Below are 21,587 nucleotides of genomic sequence, written 5' to 3'. Positions count from 1 at the left end.
TAGAGCTCAAATGTCAATAGTGCCAAGGTTGATAAACCATGCTCTATAGCAACCACTGGGATAAACAAAGAAGAAAAAACAAAGAGATATGGTGAAAAAAACAATCGATAAGTTGAAATGGCATACTAAAAATATTTAAATAATGCAAAAGAAGTCAAGAGGAGGGGCACAGAGGAACAAAAATTACAGGGGACAAATAGAAAACAGATAATTAAATGACCAACCTAAATCCTACTGTATCAATAATTACATTAATTATCTAAATAAATATTGTCTAACAGAAATATAATGCCCACACAATACTTTTAAATTTTCTAGTATATATTTTATTTAATATATACATTTTATATATATATAAAATATTTTCATTCAACATGTAATCAACATAAAAAAATTATCAGTGAGCCAGGTGGCTCATGCTTGCAACCCCAGCACTTTGGGAGGCTGAGGCGGGTGGATCACTTGAAGCCAGGAGTTTGAGAACAGCCCGCGCAACATGGTGAAACCCTGTCTCTACTAAAATTACAAAAATTAGCTGGGCATGGTAGCATGCACACCTGTAATACTCGGGAGGCTGAGGCACAAGAACTGCTTGAACCCAGGAGGCAGAAGTTGCAATGAGCCGAGATCACACCATTGCACTCCAGCCTGGGTGACAAAGCGAGACTCTGTCTCAAAAAAAAAAAAAAATTATTAATGAAATACTTTACATTCTATTTTTCAATATTAAGTCTCCAAAACTCCATGTGTACTTCACACTTACAGCACACGTCAATTTGGACTAGCTACATTTCAAAGACTAAAGTATAGCTAGTGGCTGTCATTATCAGCACAGGTTTCGACACTCCAGTTAAAAGGCAGAAATCAACAAAGTAGATTTTAAAAAATACATTATCACGGCTGGGCGCAGTGGCTCACGCCTATAATTCCAGCACTTTAGGAAGCCTAGGTGGGTGGATCACCTGAGGTCAGGAGTTTGAGATGAGCCTGGCCAACATGGTGAAACCCTGTCTCTACTAAAAATACAAAAATTAGCCGGGCGTGTTGGCAGGTGCCTGTAATCCCGGCTACACAGGAGGCTGAGGCAGGAGAATCACTTGAACCCAGGAGGTGGAGGTTGCATTGAGCTGAGATTGCACCACTGCACTCCAGCCTGGGCTACAGAGAGAGTCTCCGTCTCAGAAAAACGAAAAAACAAAAAAAAATTATTGCTTACATGCTGCCTATAAGAGATACACTTTAAATAAATTAACATAAATAGGTTGAAAGCAAATGAATAAAATCTCATGCAAAGAATAAGCATAAGAAAGATGGAGTAGCTATTTTGGTCAGATAAAAGAGCCTTCCAGACAAATAATATAATCATAATACAAATTATCTGGACACTCCATCATCTTAGTGTTGGTACTGCCTAATACCACAAGTTCTAAAACGTCCACTACCAAAACAGCTTACATTCATTTCCCACAGTGTGGCAGAGCCAACGTTAAGGGAAAAGTGAATAGTGAATTCTTTTATCTAACGGTCAAAGTGAAGTTTTCTCAGTGAAATTTACTGAATTAATCTGCCCTATTCAAAGATGTTACCTTCTGGACAGAGTCCCAGTGCTTCATAAGTAAGGAGTTCGTTGGTAGAAAAGCAATCGTGAAGTTCTATTACGTCAATATCATTTGGTGTCAGGCCAGATTTCTCATAGCATTTTCTTGCAGCTTCTTTACTCATATCAAAGCCAACCTAAAACCAAAACCATATATAAATAAAGGGCACCAAAACTGGGCCTTTTAAACAAGTATTTTAAGAGATTAATAGATGCATAACCTTAACAACTGATAATTGACCACATATATTAAATTTTTGCCCAGGTGCATTGGCTCATGCCTATAATCCAAGCACTTTGGGAAGCTGAGGCAGGAGGATCGCTTGAGCCCAGGAGTTTGAGACCAGCCTGGGCAACAATGGAAGATCCTGTCTCTACAAATAATTTAAAAATTAGCCTGGCGTGGTAGTATGTGCCTGTGGTCCCAGATACTTGGGAGGCTGAGCTGGGAGGATCGTTTGAGCACAGGAGGTCAAGGCTGCAGGGAACCAGGATCACCCCACTGAATTCCAGCCTGGATGAAAGAGCAAGATCCTGTCTCAAAAAAGAAACAAAAAAAGAAGAGAAGAAGAAAAGAAGAAAAGAAAGAAAGAGAGGAAAGGGAAAGGGAAAGAAAGGGAGGAAGGAAGGGAGGGAGGGAGGGAAGGAGGGTCAGTCAATTGATTCTATATTACACAGAAAGTCTAAATAAAATAACATCTAGGAGAAGGATGTACATATTCAATTTTGTACTAAAAAATGACAGAATTTTTAAATAAAATATATAAAAAGGACCTAGAATTCCTCAGAGCATATCTTGTGCTAAGTTACAAAACTTCTGTCAAACTACAATGTATAGTTGTGATAAACAAGTTGAAGACATTTATTACCAGATCATTATGAGTCAGATACACTGAAAAATATGGGAGAATTTCTATATAAAATGACACAATCTTCTTTTAGAAGATCATCTAGGATTCAAACCATTTTTCCAAAGTCCATGTTCTTAACATGTTTTTCTCCTCAAATAATAAAATAACTTTTCTTCAAGGAATAAAACGGTGAGGCCAGGCGTGGTGGCTCATGCCTGTAATCCCAGCACTTTGGCACTTTGGGAGGCCGAGGCAGGTGAATCGCTTGAGTCCAGGAGTTCAAGACCAGCCTGGGTAACATGGCAAAATCGTGTCTTTACAAAAAAAAAAAAAATACAAAAACTTAGCCAGATGTGGTGGCACATGCCTGTAGTCCCACTTTCTCGAGAGGCTGAAGTGGGAGGATTGCTTGAGACTAGGAGGCAGAGGTTGCAGTGAGCTATGATCGCACCACCACGCTCCAGCCTGGGCAACAAAGCAAGATCCTGTCTCAAAGAGAAAAAGAAAAAGAAATAAAACTGTGGTATAATGAAAAATGTACTATAACCAGGAAACCTAAATATAAATTCCACCTCTGCCACAACCTAACTGTGATCTTGGGCAGTTACAAAAACATTTTCCAGTTCACAGTGTTGTTGTAAAATCATTTGTAAACTATAATTTAGCATGCAATTTTGTGTATTGTGTGTATGTCTTCAAATATTCAACTAACTCTAGGTCTGAATTTTCATCTTTTTTACTTTTTCCATTTTGTACTCAATCTTTATTCAGAATTTTTAAAGTGCTGAGGGTCAAGAAAGTTCATTAAAATCATCTTTGTGGCAGTGTGTGGTGATTCACGCCTGTAATCCCAGCATTTTGGAAGGCTGAGGCAGGTGGATCACTTGAGCCAGGAATTCAAGACCAGCCTGGGAAACATGGCAAAACTGTGTCTCTACAAAAAATACAAACATTAGCCGGCAGTCGTGGCATGTGCCTGTAGTCCCAGCCACTTGGGAGGCTGAAGTGGGAGGATTGATTGAGCCTGGGATGTGGAAGCTATAGTAAGCTGAGATCGCACTACTGCACTGCAGCCTGAGTGACAGAGTAAGACCCTGTTGAAAGAAAGAAAAGAAAAGAAAGAACAACAAAACAAAACAATCATTTTTCCCTTAACTCTGTAAGATTGGAGTTCTAGGCATAGTCAACTTAAAATAATGACAAATAGCATGTCTAGTTAATTAAAAGTTATTATATAATAATGCATGGCTCCATCACAAGAATCATGAGACTCCATCTTAAAAATAAAAATAACAAATAGAATCTCAGACATACCATTTTAATAATGCTTTTTTCTTCAAACGAGCTTGGCAAATCAGTCATCATTTCTTGTGCCAAAATTTCCACAGCTTTGGATTGCAGGCCATACTTCTGTACAAATGCTTCACTGGCCAAAATTGCTGCTGCAGCACCATCTGAAGTGGGACTAAGAGGAAGTAAAAATAATTCTCCACACCCAGTAGCACCTGATCGGAGGATTTCAGACTAGGAGTTACTTCTATGTGAAAGGAAAGGCCAAATATGCTTGCTGGTCAGTGGATTGTCTTCTTTGTGATATCTACAGTTGTAAATCACACATGCTTCCCACCTGAGGACTGAACCTCTATCAAGAACTTAAATGTTGTCAATCACTACTTGGAATCTAAGAGTCCCAAAAAGTTCTTTTTTTTTTTTTTGAGATGGAGTTTCGCTCTTGTTGCCTAGGCTGGAGTATAATGGTGTTATCTTGGCTCATTGCAACTGCAACCTCCTCCTCCCCGGTTCAAGTGATTCTTCTGCCTCAGCCTCCTGAGTAGCTGAGATTACAGGCATGCGCTACCACGCCTGGCTAATTTTGTATTTTTAGTAGAGACGGAGTTTCTCCATGTTGGTCAGGTTGGTCTCGAACTCCCAACCTCAGGTGATCCGCCCGCCTCGGCCTTCCAATGTGCTGGGATTACAGGCGTGAGCTACCACGCCCAGCCCCAAAAAGTTCTTATTGCAAAGAATTACCAATTTGCCTCTGGAGATGCATAAGGCATCTTCTGAGGAGTAAGTCCAAAAGGTTATTCCTATCCTAATACAATAAAGATTCTACTACAGACCGCCCCAGCTCCAACTTTGCTATCTCCAAATAACTCAGTCCTGAAATCCTTTTGGAAACTGGGAAAAGATAGCTTGGGAATACAAAACCATCTGCTTTAGTTAAGACTCTCGAGATCTTAAACAGATCTTTTTCTTACAGCAAACTGTGATGGAAGGTAGCAAACACAAGAAGTCTTCTGGGAGTTCAGTTAGACTTTCTAAATGGGCAGACCCTCATATCACAACAAATAAAAGCTGACCCGACTTATTTCTTTCCATCCCAGCCTGTATCTACAGGGCACAGCCAGGTGTTAACTAGGACACAGGCAGGAGCTAAGCAGTACTCACTCAATTTTCTAGGAGACAGATACTGTCAAGCACTTTGCAAGAAACAACTGTTATCATCATTAGAGCTATGAATTTTTCCTTGTTTTACTTTTACTCATAGCTACTATTATAGAGTAGAATTTCCTGTAGTAGAAGTACATAGCAGGGAAAACAAAATGCTTTGGGCTCCACTGGCCCCCAAGCCACAGTTTAATGAATAAATACAATTGCAATCACCAAAGTAGGTAGAAGTCCTGCAAGAAGAAGTAAAACACATCATTTTCCAAGAGAAGAGACAGTCTGTCTCCAGGCAGGAGTAAGAAGTAGGGTACTCTAGTGAAGTGACCCAGAGTGGGGACGGCACTGGGAGGAGTTCTGTGAAAGCTCCGCCCAGATGCAGAGCCTAAGGTTTAACCACAGGGGGGTGGCAGGAAGGGCAGCAGTTACTTCCCTCATTAAATGTTAAAATATATTTTTCTTACCAACATTGTAAGATAGTCAAAAAATCAAAAACTTCTTTAGATGCCATCACTTCATCTAAACTGTATTCATCTTGGAACTGGGAATACCTAAATACAAAATAAATATTAGTTACAGAATGTGAGATAGCAACTGTAATTTTTGTTGCAGAGTAAGAAACAGAATAATATGTAAATATTATTTTCACAACCAGAAGACAGATTTTTATGAATAGCCATAAATGTCATCTGAATTGACCTTTTAAAAAATCCTAACTCTAAAATACAGTATGTTTTATTTTTTAAAATTTGGTCTTTGTCCTGGGTTCCTGGCTTGGAGCTTCCAAAGCCCTTGGAATTTCCTGAATGATAGAAGTGTCTTTGTTATGCTAATGAGGTCACTTATGGTGGGCCTTGTTATCTTGAAAATGGGAGACTGACCACCAAAAGACCAACCATGTGACTACAGAGTTGAGACTTTTGAGCCAGCTCAACCTCTGAGAAGAAGAGGAAGGCTGGAGATTGAGTTCAGTTATGTGGCCAGTGATTTAATCTAGCATGCTGACATAATGAAGCCCCAGTAAAAAATCTGGACATGGTGTTCAGCGGGGCTTCCTGATTGGTGAACGTCTTGATGTATCCGGAGGATGACATGCCCTGACTCCATAGGGAAAAGGCAAGAAAGCTTTGCTTGGGATGCTCCCAGACCTCACTCTATATGCCTCTTCATTTGACTGTTTCTGATTTATATCCTTTATAATAAAACTGTAATTTTAAGTACTTTCCTGAGTTCTGTAAGTTGTTCTAGTGAATTATTGAATCTGAGGGAGTCATGGGAGCCCCTGGATTTGTGGTCAGTTGGTCAAAATATGGGTGGCATGGGCATCCCACTTGCAGCTAATGTCTGACGTATGAGCAGTCTTGTGGAGGACTGGGTCCTTAATTCATGGAGTTTGCATTAACTCCTAGGCGCTTCATGCCAGAATTGAGTTGCAATATACCCAGTTGGTGTTAGACCAGTTGGGGATTAAAACAGAATACCATATTTATGTTTCCTGGCAAATTAAAGAATACTAGTTCCTTAAAAGCAAAATCAAATCACCTGCAATTCAGCCAACTTTTGAGCCGATAATATTATACAAGTACATTAATTAAGGCTAATGGAGCTTTTAAATAAATGTACAATTAGCCAGGCATGGTGGCTCACACCTGTAACCCCAGCACTTTGGGAGGCCAAGGCAGGCAGATCACCTGAGGTCAGGAGTTCAAGACCAGCCTGGCCAACATGGCAAAAGCTCGTCTCAACTAAAAATACAGGCTGGGTGCGGTGGCTCACACCTGTAATCCCAGCACTTTGGGAGGCAGAGGCAGGTGGATCACGAGGTCAAAGTTCAAGACCAGCCTGGCCAAGATGGTGAAACCCTGTCTCTACTAAAAATACAAAAATTAGCCAGGTGCTGTGGCAGGTGCCTGTAATCCCAGCTACTCGGGAGGCTGAGGCAGGAGAATCGCTTGAACCCAGGGCACAGAGGTTGCAGTGAGCCGAGATCATGCCACTGCATTCCAGCCTGGGTGACAGAGTGAGATGCCATCTAAAAAAAATAATAATAATAATTAGCCGGGCATGGTGGCTCCTGTAGTCCCAGCTACTAGGGAGGTAGAGGTTGCAGGCAGCCGAGATCACGCCACTGCACTCCAGCCTGGATGACACAGCGAGGCTCTGTCTCAAAAAAAAGAAAAAGGGTCATTAGCCTAAATGATATTCTAAATATAAAGTGGCCAAAAACTGGAACTGAAAAGTTGTCAAAAGTTTACTTGCGTATAAGCCTTTTGTAAGAAAAAAATAAAACATTCTAGTTAAAATATTTGAGATCTTGGCATTTGCTTTTCAAGTATAAAGTTGCATATTATACAGTAGGATAACCCAGATTTTCATTATTTCATGTCTCTGAAATACTTACGGGTTATTAACTGAATGTTTATGATTTTTCCATCCAATTTTTGCAAAGTGTTCAATTTTTGTTCCTGTAAAGAAAGCAAACATCTACCAGTGGGTGAATGTTTTTCCGCTGCTTATTAACAAATCTTGCAATGGTACTCAGTGTTCTGCTAAATATCTCCATATTTTCCCTTTCATATATATCATCAGTATTAAAGACTTCAGCACTGTTCCCTCAAAAAATTTTTATTTATAATTAAATGTGGGCCTAATTAACGAACTGAATCAACTAATAGGCACATAAGATAAAAACAGTTCAAACTGATCTATTCTAATTAAAATAAGTAGAACCCAGTTTCAAAAACAAGAAACATGGTGGTTTTAAGGCAGGAGAACACTACAATTCCTCTAGGAGTCTGTCAAACACCCCAGTACGCTAGACTGAGAGAATTTTACACAACTCACACCCTCCAGGGCATGATAAGATATTTCATCTTCCTCCCTTTCCTTATGATAAAACAGAAAAGTTTTTAGAAGAGTTATATCCTGATAAGAAATATGTATGCCTTTTAAATTCCTTAACAGAAAATTTAAATAATCGTGTCAGGAAAACAAAAAAAAGTACAGTAATGAGGTAAAACACGCAAAAAAAATTTTTTTTTACTACTTTTAAAAAGATAAAACTGAATAAAATATGCTTTGAATTCTCATTTGGTGCTGTAAAGGCCAAAGAAAAAAGAAAGCCACCAATTAGAGCTGATAATGTTATATTAATGGCACAGTAAAGTACAAAGTTCCCCATGTCTGTTTTATCTCTCTCTTCTCTATCAAGGAGGATGATCTTCAGAGCAAAAATGACATACATATAATTAAGCAAATCTTATCTCAATTCTAATAAAAAGAGAAGATAAATTCCACACTTGTGATCTTCTAACAATAAAAATAGTGATCAGGGCCAAGCGCGATGGCTCATGCCTGTAACCCCAGCATTTTGGGAAGCCAAGGTGGGTGGATCATTTGAGGTCAGGAGTTCAAGACCAGACTAGTCAACATGGTGAGACTCTGTCTCTAGTAAAACTACAAAAATTAGCCAGGCGTAGTAAAAACACAAAAATTAGCTAGGTATAGTGGCATACACCTGTCATCTCAGCTACTTGGGAGGCTGAGGCAGGAGAATCACTTGAACCCGGAAGACGGAGATTGCAGTGAGCCGAGATTGTGCCATTGCACTCCAGCCTAGGTGACAGCGTGAGACTCCATCTCAAAAAAAGAATAGTGATCAGGAGGAGGCCAATATGGGTTCAATAAGAATAAGACAAGTCAAATTATGTGTTATCTTTTCGTGACTGAATTGACTGTTAGATCAAAGAAAACATAGTATCTGGACAGCAGCAAGAAAATTAACGAAATTTCTCAAAACATTTTGGACAAGATAAGGAAATATCGTAGTGTGGGATTTTGGGGGGTTATTTTCATTTTTATCTTTTGGTGTTACCAAAAAAAAAAAAAGAGGGTTCTTCTGTCAAATAAGTTTAGACTATGGTTAAACAAAGCTAAACACGTCTTTACTGTAAGACATTTGGAGCCTTTACTATTGCACTATGTGCATTATGACCATCTAGAAGAGGATTAAAGTATGAAGCATTTCCCAATATTACACTCATGTGAAACAACAGGCATTAATTAATGCATTGACCTAGAGAAAAGTTTCTAGCACTAACTTCTAACCTCAGCTCTGGTCTTGTTAATATTTCTATTACAAAGTGAGTAAGAAAACTAGAGGCTCTCTCACCAAACCTAAAGCTGGAAGGGACTGCTATAATGTTGAATTTCAACAAGGTCTATCAATAGGATGGATCAGAATATAAATTAAACACTCAGTTCTATTCTTGAACTCCCACAACAACCTGCAAAAATGAGCAACAACTATGAGAAACCTCAAGCTCAGTGAGATTTCATAGTGTGATGTGACTAGCAGAATAGCTTACATGGGATCACAGTACAGCAATTAGACTGCTTATGGGTTATGAAACAAGTCTAATGAGAGTAGTTAAGAGAAGAAATTAAATATAGGGTCAGGCTGGCTTCAGATATTTGAAGGGCTACAAGGTAAAATAGGCTTTTTCTGTCATTCTCAGAAGACAAAAACAAGACCATGGATGCAAACCATAGGGTGAGAGATTTGGGTTCAACATGAAAAAGGGAATTGTAACAATTGGAATCTCCTAAAAATTGGGATTGGTGGCCTCAGTTGGTGACAAATTCCTTGTTTTAGGAAGTACACATGCTTTATTGTCTCTATTAGATTTGCAAGCAATCCATGCATAGATTGGTAGGAAGAAGGGTGGCTAAAACAGTAAAGTACTTGGCATGGTGTCTGACATAAGAGATGTTCAATAATGTTCGTATCTTTTCTTCCTTTTTTCGTAACATAGGATCTGATTAATCAATAAAAGACAGCATCCCCTTGAAAAATATTCTGCCAGTCACTTACATATTTATTAAGCCTGGCCACTGATGAAGGGCTTATTGACTACTGATTCTGAATTGCCAATTAAGATTTTTGACTATTCAAAGGCTATGCCTTTATGTCAAACTATTTTAATATCCTATAATTTAATTATGAAACCACAAACTCGGCTGGTTCTACAAATGATTTAAACTACTATAAGCTTTCTTACATATTCATTTCTAGTGCACATTCAGAACACTCACAAACAGCAATTTTAAATAACAATTTAAATTATATAAAATTCTACAATTCATTTAGAAATCTGTCGAATGAAGAATAAAGAAACAATACCCCCAAATGATAGCCTCAGAAGCAAAAGTTTTTCACTGACCTTCTCCTACCCTCCTGTCTCTCAGGCCCATTCTCTCCTGAGGCTAACCATAGAAACTAGAATCCCTCTTCCCCAAGGCAGGTCATAGAAACCAGAACTCCTTTTCCCCAAAGCCAGTCATAAAACCTAGAAATATTACTTTAACTTCCTCCACCTTTCTGTGTAAAAACTGGTCATAAACAAACTATCTGACCTATCTTGTTTGACTGTGGGTCATAAGACCCCCATTCCAGAAAGGGACCTGCCCCACGCCCAGAAGGAAGGAATGTGTGCTCAAAGAGGCCAAGAAGAACCTAGATGGACAGGCCTGGCTGGGTTTCTCCACTCAGTCTATTAGCATTAGATCATATGCTTTTTGTCCAATCATATTTCTATAGGGCTGTTCCATACTTTGTTGAACCTAAGCATAAAAATGGACAATTTCCCATTTTTTTGAGTCTTCATTCTGAATGTTCCCGTGTACACACGTTAAATAAATTTGTATGCCTTTTCTCCTGTTAATCTGCCTCATGTAAGTGATTTTCAGTGAACCTTCAGAGGGTCAAGGCCCTTGTTCCCTACAATGACATTTCCACTAAAATAGTGTACATTTATATTTCAAATTTTAGACTAGAAAACTGTCCAATTATTCTGAGCAATGTAAAACTTGAGAAAATATATACACTTAAAAACACATCAGTAACAGGATTTCCAGGTAATTGAGGAAAAATGGAGGCCACGTAAATCTGTGTCTCTCGGCCGGGAGCGGTGGCTCACGCCTGTAATCCCAGCACTTTGGGAGGCCGAGGCGGGTGGATCACGAGGTCGGGATATCGAGACCATCCTGGCTAACACGGTGAAACCCCGTCTCTACTAAAAATACAGAAAAATTAGCCAGGCGTGGTGGCGGGCATCTGTAGTCCCAGCTACTCGGGAGGCTGAGGCGGGAGAATGGCGTGAACCCGGGAGGCAGAGCTTGCAGTGAGCTGAGATTGCGCCACTGCACTCCAGCCTGGGCAACAGACTGAGACTCTGTCTCAAAAAAAAAAAAAAAAAAAAAAAAATCTGTGTCTCTCTATAGCCTCTAAAACCAATACAGAATAACCAGAAAAAATAAAATAGCACAAATCATACTCTCAGCATAACTAGAAAATAGAAAATGCCAAATTTCAAATTATCTATAAGTTAAAAAAAAAAGAAAAAGAAAAGAAAAAATATATAAGACCAAATCCCAGCCAACAACTGCTCACGTTTCTACACAAACCTTTAAGGGTACATGGGCAGGCTGAGGAAACTGTGCAGAGAAGAGGGGAGATAATCGCAGGCCAACAACTGCTCTAAACTACCAAGAAAAGAAAGACCTCCTCCCCAAGTGTGAAAATACCAAGAAAATATTCCTATAGATCAAACCATGACTATATGGAATGGGCTGAAAAACACAGGAGATCTGAGGTGGGAATCTTAAAGGTATAAGTTCTGAGAGGAAAAAAAAAAGCAAAATGAAAGGGCAAGGTCCCTTTTGGTGCAATTGAGTAGTGAAGGAGAAAAGCAGCATAAGAGGACATTTGTATGTAAGAGGACATTTGTATGGTGCAATTGAGCGGTGAAGGAGAAAAGCAGCAAAAGAGGACAAGGTACACCTGTAGTCCCAGCGACTCAGGACGCTGAGACAGGAGTATTGCCTGAGCCCAGGGGTTTGTGGCTGTGGTGCACCATGATTGCACCTAAAAAGAGTCAGCCTGGGTAGTATTGCAAGACCCCATTCTACTACACTTACAGAAGAGGGCACCATAGAACTAAGAATCCCCTCAGTCTACAAACAACACACTCAAATCACCAGGCAATAAAACTAGAAATTACTAATAAAATTAAAAGTCCACCTGGAAATTTAAAAAATATTTCCATGAAATAATTCTTGGGTAAAAAATGAAAATAGAAATGGAAATTATAGAACTTGTCAGAAAATAATGATAATGAAAATACTACATATCAGAATCAATGTGATACATTTAACACAGTAATCAGGAAAATATATACCACTAACCATTTATTAATAAGAATAAATGAATGACATAAGGAATATTATTAAGCAGTAAAAAGGAATGAGGTCCTAATACATGCTATGACATGAATGAACAGTGAAAATATACTAACTTAAAGAAGCCAGTCACAAAAGGCCACTTTTTTTGTTTGTTTGTTTGTTTGTTTGTTTGAGATGGAGTCTAGCTCTGCCGCCCGGGCTGGAGTGCAGAGGTGCAATCTCAGCTCACTGCAACCTCCACCTCCCAGGCTCAAGCAGTTCTCCTGCCTCAGCCTCCCCAGTTGCTGGGATTACAGGCACACGCGACCACGCCCGGCTAATTTTTGTATTTTAGTAGAGATGGGGTTTCACCATGTTGGCCAGGCTGGTCTTGAACTCCAGACCTCAGGGGATCCCCCAACCTCAGCCTCCCAAAGTGCTGGGATTACAGGTGTGAGTCACTGTGCCTGGCCTTTTTAGAAAAAACAAACAAACAAACAAACAAAAACAGGGTCACACTCTGTCAACCAGGCTGGAATGCAGAGGTGCGACCTTGGCTTACTGCAGCCTCCTCCTTCCAGGCTCAAGCAGTCCTCCCACTTCAGCTTCCCAAGTAGCTGAGACTATAGGCATGTGCCACCACACCAGCTAACTTTTGTGGTTTCATCATGTTGCCCAGGCTGGTCTTGAACTCCTGGGCTCAAGCGATCTACCTGCCTCAGCCTCCCAAAGTGCTGGGATTACAGGTGTGTATCACCATATCCAGAAAGGCCACATATTGATTATATTTGACTCTTGAACAACACAGGTTTAAGCTGCATGGGTCCACTATAAGGGGACTTTTTTCAATGACAGTTACATCAAGTATGCCTGCCTCTTCTGCCTCCTCTTCCACCTCTTCTGTCTCTGCCACCTGGGACAGCAAGACCAACCTTCCCCTTCCTCCTCAGCCTACTCAACAAGAAAATGATGAAGAAGAAGAGCAACAAGGATGAAGATCTTTAAGATGATCACCTTCCACTTAATGAATAGTAACTATATTTTCTCTTCCTTATGATTTTAATAACATTTTCTTTTGTCTAGCTTACTTTATTATGAGCATAGTGTATAATATATGTAACATAAAAAATATGTGTAAATCAATTTTTTATGTTACCACTAAGGCTTCTGGTCAAGAGCAGGCTATTAGTTAAATTCGGGGGGAATCAAAAGTTATACATGAATTTCTGACTGTGCAGGTCAGTACCACTAAACCCCCTGTTGTTCAAGGGCCAACTGTACATTTATATAAAATGTCCAGAATAGGCAAATCCAAAGAAAAACAAAGTAGATGAGTGGCTGCCAGGAACTAGAAGAGGAGGTAATGGACTGCTAATGGGTACAGGGTTTCATTTTTGGTTAATGAAATGTTCTGAAATTAATCATGGTGATGGTCATGCAACTCTGTGAATATATTAAAAATCACTGAATTGTACACTTTAAAAGAGTAAATTATATGATATAAGAATTATACCTCAATAAAGCTGTTATATTAACAAGAAATAAAATATTGAATTCTCCAAGTCAAAAAACTAAAAATAAGAATAAAGTAAACCAAAAGAAAGTACCAGGAAGATGAAGAAATGAATGAGGGTAAAGAATAGAAAGAATAGACATAATTAATCAAAATCCTGTTATTTTGAAAAATTTAACAAAAGAGACAAACTACCAGCTAATTTCATCAAGGGAAAAGGGAGAAACCATAAATGCACACAAAGAATAAATGACAAGAGAGGCCGGCGTGGTGGCTAACACCTGTAATCTGGCACTTTGGGAGGCCAAGACGGGCCGATCACCTGAGGTCAGGAGTTAGAGACCAGCCTGACCAACATGGAGAAACGCCATCTCTACTAAAAATACAAAAAATTAGCCAGGCATGGTGGCACGCACCTGTAGTCTCAGTTACTCAGGAGGCTGGGGCAGGAGAATTGCTTGAACCCAGGAGGCAGAGTGTTACAGGCCAAAAGAGTGAGGGTCGTGACTGACTCAGTATACCACTGGAGGCTATATGAGCAAACAGGAAACTGGATGAAAGCAGGATGTTGGAAAACTGACAACTGCATCTGCTGCCAGAAGGGGTGCTGAGGGCAGTCACACCCCAAGCACAGTGTTCCTTGTGATTATCTATAGGAACATCGGAAACCTGTTGTACAAAGAAAGCAATTGTGTGTACCTGTGATAAATCAAGCAGCGGACCAACAGTTACCTCTGCCTCCCTGCTCTTTCTACCTAATAAATATGAAGGGCTGTAAAAGCTCAGGGTGCTTGTTCACTAGAAGCAAGGAGCCCCCTGACCCCTTCTTTCAAAACAGATCTTTTTGTCTTTCTCTTCATTTCTGCATTTGTCCCCCTTTGTTCAATCCCATAGCAATTGACAGCAACAGTGGAGGTTGCAGTGAGCCAAGATAGTGCCACTGCACTCCAGCCTGGGCAACAGAGCAAGACTCCATCTCAAAATAAACAAATGACAAGAGGAGAATATCATTGAAATAGAAATAAAAATTTACATTGTTAAAATACTACTTTTCAGACTTCTATACAAATTGATTTGAAAATCTAAATGACGTGGATAATTTCCTGGAGAACTACAGACTACCAAAATTGGCCCCATTGGATATAGAATGTTTAAACATTAAAAAAAAAAAATAGATTACCAAGCCAAAAAGAAAGAACCAGGCCCAGATTATCTCACAAGGAATTCTACCAAACCTACAAAGCAGTTGGTTTCAAAGTTCCATAAATTGTTTCAGAGCATTAAAATAGCTTCCTATTTCTTTTTTTTTAATTGAGGAGTCCCAGTCTGTTGCCCAGGGTGGAGTGCAGTGGCACAATCTCGGCTCACTGCAACCTCCACCTCCCAGGTTCAACCGATTTTCCTGCCTCAGCCTCCTGAGTAGCTGGGATTACAGGCGCCTGCCACCATGCCTGACTAATTTTTTTGTATTCTTAGTAGAGACAGGGTTTCACCATGCTGACCAGGCTGATCTCGAACTCCTGACCTCAGGTAATCCGTCCACCTTAGCCTCCCAAAGTGCTGGGATTACAGGCATGAGCCATCGTGCGTGGCTCCTATTTCTTTTTAAGACGGAGTCTTGTCCTGTCACCCAGGCTGGAGTACAATGGCATGATCTCGGCTCACTGCAACCTCCACCTCCCGGGTTGAAGTGATTCTCCTGCCTTAGCCTCCCAAATAGCTGGGATTACAGGTGCATGCCACCATGCCGGCTAATTTTTTTTTTTTTTTGTATCTTTAGTAGAAATGGGGTTTCGCCATGTTGGCCAGGCTGGTCTCAAACTCCTGACCTCGTGATCTGCCTGCCTCTGCCTCCCAAAGTGCTGGGATTACAGGCGTAAGCCACCACAACTGGCCCCTATTTCTTTAGTATAAAATTAACACCCAAACTTGATAACAATAAAATATATATATATATATCACTTACAAATAATGATTTGAAATTACTAAATAAAATAATAGCAACAGAACCTAATTCCATGTTAAAAACAGCAATACACCATGATCAACCGGCATTTATTCCAGATATGCAAACTTGGTTTACTGTTAGGAATCCATTACTAAAATAGTCCAGCCATAGATCTAAGTGGGGAACATAATGCAATTATCTCCATAGATACTGGAAAAGCTACAAAATTCAATACCCATTCCTGGAAAAAAAAAAACTCAAGAAAATAGACACTGACGGATACTTTTTCAACATATAATAGATATATCTATGTGCTTAACTCAGTACCTTACTTAAAACACCAAGATCAGGAACAGGACAAGGATGCTTACTGTCTTCCACTGCTACTTAACATTGTACTGATGGTATTTGCAAATACAATTAGATAAGTCAGTTCAAATATTACAATGAGAAAAGAAGTAGTAAAACCATCTCTTTTTGTAGATGATATAATATAGCTGCATATGTGGAAACCCCTATAAGTAAAATCAATAATAAAACTAACTCAAAAATTAAAAACTTCAGTGAGATAGCAAGTCATAAGATTAATATATAAAACTCAATAGCTGGCCAGGTATGTGGCTCACACCTGTAATCCCAGCACTTCGGGATGCTGAGGCAGGTGGATCACTTGAAGTCAGGAGTTCAAGACCAGCCTGGCCAACATGGTAAAATCAGGTCTCTAATAAAAAAAAAAAAAAACTACAAAAATTAGCCAAGCTTGGTGATGCGCACCTGTAATCCCAGCTACTTGGGAGGCTGAGGCAGGAGAATCGCTTGAATCCAGGAGATGGAGATTGCAGTAAGCCAAGATCATGCCATTGCACTCCAGCCTGGGCAACGGAGCAAGACTCCATGTTGGGGGGAAAAAAAAATCAGTAGCCTTTGTATACACAAGCAACGACCACCTTGGAGGATATAACACCAGTGAAAAGTCCATGTGCAATAGCAGCAGCAAGGATGATTAAAGGAATTAAAGAAGGTATTTAGGAATAAGTTTAACAAGAAATAAAACACTTAGATATGAAGAAAACTTTAAAACACTCCTGAAAGACACAAAGACAGAACTGAATAAATAAAAAGATAATCCCTGTTCTTTGACAGGACAACTCAGCCTCATAAATACATCAGTTTTCCCTAAATTAACAAGATTAATACAATCCTAGTAAAAATACCAATAAGATTTTTTATGGAGCTCAACAAATTGAGAGTAAAGTTCAAATGGAGAAAACAAAAAAAACCCATGCACATAACCTATGCATAAATGGAGGCAAGAAAACACTGAAAAAGAAAAACTATGAGGGCTCTTGGGCCAGAAAAAGATGTTAGTGAGATAACTGGTGAAATTTAGAATGAGGTCTGTAGATTATATAATAGCATCATATCAATATTAACTTCCCAATTTTTATCACTGTAGTGACTATGAAAGAACTGCAACTTACTCTCAAACTTTTTTAAATTAATTTTGTTGTTGTTGTTTGTTTGTTTGTTTGTTTGTTTTTGAGATGGAGTCTCGCTCTGTTGCCCAGGCTAGAGTGCAGTGGCGCGATCTCGGCTCACAACCTCTACCTCTCGGGTTCAAGCAATTCTCCTGCCTCAGCCTCCCGAGTAGCTGGGACTACAGGTGTGCACTACCAGGCTCGGCTAATTTTTTGTATTTTTAGTAGAGACGGGGTTTCACCATGTTGGCCAGGCTGGTCTTGAACTCCTGACCTCAGGATCCGTCCGCCTTGGCCTCCCAAAGTGCTGGGATTACAGGCGTGAGCCACAGCACCCAGCCTTACATTTTTTAAAAATTACATAGCAATATAGGTAAAAAGAATTCATTAAAACAACAAGCATGGCAAAATGTTAATTTTTAGAAAATCTAGAGGAAAAGTATTAGGAATTCTTGTACTATTTTGGCAACATTCTTGTTCAGTCTGAAATTACTTCTAAACAAAATATTTTTAAAGTATATTACAATATACCTCTAAAAATGAAGCATATCATCTTTTAAAATCGACAAACCTGGGCCAGGCACGGTGGCTCACACCTGTAATCCCAGCACTTTGGGAGGCTGAGTTGGGCGGATCACGAGGTCAGGAGATTGAGACCATCCCGGCTAACATGGTGAAACCCCGTCTCTACTAAAAATACAAAAAATGCCATGTGTGGTGGTCGGGTGCCTATAGTCCCAGCTACTCGGGAGGCTGAGGCAGAAGAATGGCGTGAACCCAGGAGGCGGAGCTTGCAGTGAGCCAAGATCATGCCACTGCACTCCAGAGCGAGACTCTGTCTCAAAAAAAAAAAAAAAAAGAGAGAAAAGAAAAAAATTTGACAAACCTTTCAAATGACAACCATAAACAAATTTAATTTCAAATTATAATCTGGCCACATTCATTATCTAATTAAGTAATTTAAAATATTTATGATTTTTAAACAAAAATGCTATTACAATATTCAGTTTTCCTTCCCCTTCACAAAATAGGTCAAAAAAGAAAAAAGGAAAGCCAAGCACAAATGAAAATTTCAAGCAAAACATGTTTCTGTACCTATAATAAATGCTAACAAAAAGTACTTAATGTCCCTCAACTATGTACAGGAATGACAAGAAAACTAAAAGTTAATATACAGTAAAAGCTTTTTATTATTTAAAATTAAATATAGCTATATGAGAAACAATGAAAAGAATGGAGGTTTTATAGTATGGCAGATTTGGGTGTGAAACCCTCTCCTATCACCTATTAGAAGAAGTTACTCAAATTCTCCAAGCTTCAGGTTCCTCATATGAAAAATAGGCATACACTTACCTCTTAAAATAGTTGTTATATTTGGTGTGTAAAATATCTAAGATGTGTGAGGCACGCAACAAAGAGCAGCTACTATTACTGGGAGAAAGGGCTGCGCAAGGGCTTTTGAGTGAGACAGAAATAGAATGGAACATAGGCTCTGCTACTTATTGACCCTATCATCCTGGTCAAAAACTTGTCTGAATATCAGATTCTTCTGGTATAAAATGAGATAATAACACCTCCGATAATGGATTCTTGTGATAGCTGAATAAGATAACATACATATGGAAATTCACTCCTTCATTCAATAAATGTTTCTTGAGTATTTAAATATGCTGCAGACTATAGAAGAGAAAGAAAAAAAAAAAACTTCTTTCTGGTTAAATAACATGCCAAGCTCTGTGCTTGGCTGTGTATATCAAGGTAAACAAAGCAGACATGGACCTGCTTTCGTGGAGTTTATAGACTAATAAGGAAGATGAAAATTAAACAAGTAAAATCACATATGATAAATATATGAACATAAATAGTGCTAAGTGCTATGAAGGAAGCAATATGAAGCTATCTAAGAAAGAGGATAACAGGAGGGGACTACTTTGATTTGAATAGTCATGGAGGGTCTTTCTAAATTTTAAAGATGAATTAATTACACAACACTGATTTGTGCCAGGCACTATTCTTTTTTTTTTTTTTCTTTTATCCTTGGTTTAGCCAGGTACTATTCTAGGTTAACAATCAATGTGCAGGAAATAAGACAAATAAAAATCCATGCTTTTGTTGAACTTATATTCTGGTTGGAAGAGTCAATAAACAAGAATATATATATATATATCATGTTATATGGCACCTGTAATAATCTGACATATATGTATGTGTCAGATATATGTCAGATTATTATAGGTGCCATATAAAATGATAAAGCAGGAGATAGTGAATAGGAAGTTCTGGGAAGGAGAGTGATGAAAGAAAGCAGAAGGTGGCTTTTAAGCAAAGACCTGATGGAAGCAAGGGAGCTGGCTCTGACAATCTTAGGGTAGAAGCTAAGGCCCTACCTGAAGAAAAGCTTGGTGTGTTTGAGGAACAGAAAGAAAGGATAGTGTGGTTGGAGCAGACTAGTGAAAGAAAAAATGGTCGGAGATACAGTCAGAGAGCTAATGAGGGTGAAGGGAATGATCATGTAGAAGCTCATAGGCCATAAGAAGACATTTGGGTTTCAATCTGAATGTCATGAGAAACAATGGAGAATTTTAAGCACAGGAGTGAAATGATCTGATATATTTTAAAAGCATGGCTCTGGCTATAAAGTAGAGAATTGACTCTGGAGGTGCACAAGCAGAAGTAGAGAAACCAGTTAGAACACTCCTAAATTTCAGGTGCGAAATTATGCCACTACAGCAAAAGTAGCAGAAATGGTGAGAAATGGATAGACTGAGAATATAGAGAAAAGGCTTGCTGATATATTGAATGTAGAGTATGAATAGCTTGATCTTTCACCTCTTCTTGGTTGACATTTTAAGATCCTCAATTTATAGTCCATGGCCAGTCATGGTGGCTCACGCCTGTAATCCCAACACTTTGGGAGGCTGAGACAGGTGGATCACTTGAGCTCAGAGTTTGAGACCAGCCTGGGCAACATGGCAAAAAGCCACCTCTACCAAAAATACAAAAAATTAGCCGAACATGGTGGTGCACATCTGTAGTCCCAGCTATTCGAGAGGCTGGGGTGGAAGGATCGCTTGAGCCTGGGAGATGGAAGTTGCAGTGAGCCGAGATCGCACCACTGCACCCAACCTGCATAACAGAGTGAAACCCTCAGCTTGGAAAAAAATAATTTATAGTCCATGATTAAAGGAGACAAGATTTGTGTTATTTTTCCTATTTCAACTTCCTGCTATAGAGTACTCTAGGTACTTCCCATACCATAGTCTATATATAAATACTTTCTCTATGACTAAGTTCTACAAGAACTATTACTTCGATTTAATTCAAAAAACATTTTACATCTTATATATCCTGGCATCCTCCACAGTTCCTTAATAAATAACTGTCATTTCTCATCTCATGTATATAACTAGTAAGAAGCCTCAAAGTTTTTTAACTGTAACATACCATATTTTTCCATATGTTCTTTTCCAGCATACCCAAACATCTGAGGAGCAACTGGGTGAGCAGACAATCCATACTTATTGATCAGGAGGTCAACATGCTTATCAGTGGGAATGGTTCTATCTGAAAACTAAGAGGGGGGAACAAAATTTCATAAGCAGCTGACATGATAAGTGTCTCTTTCAAAACTACTACAGTGCTATTAAGATATTTATTTATTCTAAGCACATAGTACACCAGAAATTGTCAATGTGAATCAAATCAGTTAAGACATGCTCCACAGGGAAACATGGGAAGAAGAAAAAATAATCAAGTGACCAAAGAGGTATTAACTCTTTCAAGAAATATTTATTGGGCATCCAGTATGTGCCAGTAACTATTCCATCCTGTTGTGGGGTGGGGGTTGGGGGGAGGGATAGCATTAGGAGATATACCTAATGTAAATGACAAGTTAATGGATGCAGCACACCAACATGGCACATGCATACGTATGTAACAAACCTGCACGTTGTGCACATGTACCCTAGAACTTAAAGTATAATTAAAAAAAAAAAAAAAAAAAAAAAGAACCAAAGGAAATAGGCTGGGCGTGGTGGCTCACACCTGTAATCCCAGCACTTTGGGAGGCTGAGACGGGTGGATCACTTGAGCTCAGGAGTTCAAGACCAGCCTGGCCAACATGGTGAACCCTATCTCTACTAAAAATACATAAATTAGCCAGGTGTGGTGGTATGCACCTACAGTCCCAGCTATTCGGGAGGCTGAGGTGGGAGAACTGCTTGAACCCAGGAGGTGAAGATTGCAGTGAGCCGAGATCACACCACTACTGCACTCCAGCCTGGGCGACAGAGTGAGACTCTGTCTTGGGAATGAATAAATAAATAAATATACACACACACACACACACACACACACGCACATAATATATACACACAACACACATATATACATATATATACACATACATATATATACACATATATACATACATATATACACATATATACATACATATATACATATATACATACATATATACATATACATACATATATACATATATATACATACATATATACACATGTATATA

At 39.1% G+C, this 21,587-nt stretch overlaps 1 protein-coding gene across 12 annotated transcripts in view, besides 2 other annotated features; it reads right to left on the bottom strand.

Moving 5' to 3' along the window:
• Window positions 1-21,587, bottom strand: part of SCP2 (sterol carrier protein 2) — a 124,423-nt gene that overhangs the window by 69,569 nt on the left and 33,267 nt on the right. For all 12 annotated transcript variants that reach the window (NM_002979.5, XM_005271103.5, NM_001193600.2 and 9 more), the window contains 5 exons: window positions 20,501-20,627; window positions 7,298-7,361; window positions 5,361-5,447; window positions 3,763-3,913; window positions 1,587-1,734 (listed from right to left, as the gene is read on the bottom strand). In NM_002979.5, the coding sequence (NP_002970.2) occupies window positions 1,587-1,734; window positions 3,763-3,913; window positions 5,361-5,447; window positions 7,298-7,361; window positions 20,501-20,627 (577 nt within the window). The remainder of the gene's footprint in view (window positions 1-1,586; window positions 1,735-3,762; window positions 3,914-5,360; window positions 5,448-7,297; window positions 7,362-20,500; window positions 20,628-21,587) is intronic.
• Window positions 6,274-6,773: an enhancer, noted in NCBI's record as "H3K27ac hESC enhancer chr1:53441029-53441528 (GRCh37/hg19 assembly coordinates)". NCBI's record gives its function as "activates a minimal SCP1, AML or CMV promoter by ChIP-STARR-seq in primed H9 embryonic stem cells {active_cell/tissue: H9 hESC(primed)}" and the evidence as "EXISTENCE:reporter gene assay evidence [ECO:0000049][PMID:30033119]".
• Window positions 6,774-7,275: an enhancer, noted in NCBI's record as "H3K27ac hESC enhancer chr1:53440527-53441028 (GRCh37/hg19 assembly coordinates)". NCBI's record gives its function as "activates a minimal SCP1, AML or CMV promoter by ChIP-STARR-seq in primed H9 embryonic stem cells {active_cell/tissue: H9 hESC(primed)}" and the evidence as "EXISTENCE:reporter gene assay evidence [ECO:0000049][PMID:30033119]".

This window comes from Homo sapiens, chromosome 1, assembly GCF_000001405.40.
Source record: "Homo sapiens chromosome 1, GRCh38.p14 Primary Assembly".
NCBI classification, from domain to species: Eukaryota; Metazoa; Chordata; class Mammalia; order Primates; family Hominidae; genus Homo; species Homo sapiens.
Note: the sequence above shows the minus strand (reverse complement) of the source record. Positions and strands in the feature narration are given on the sequence as shown.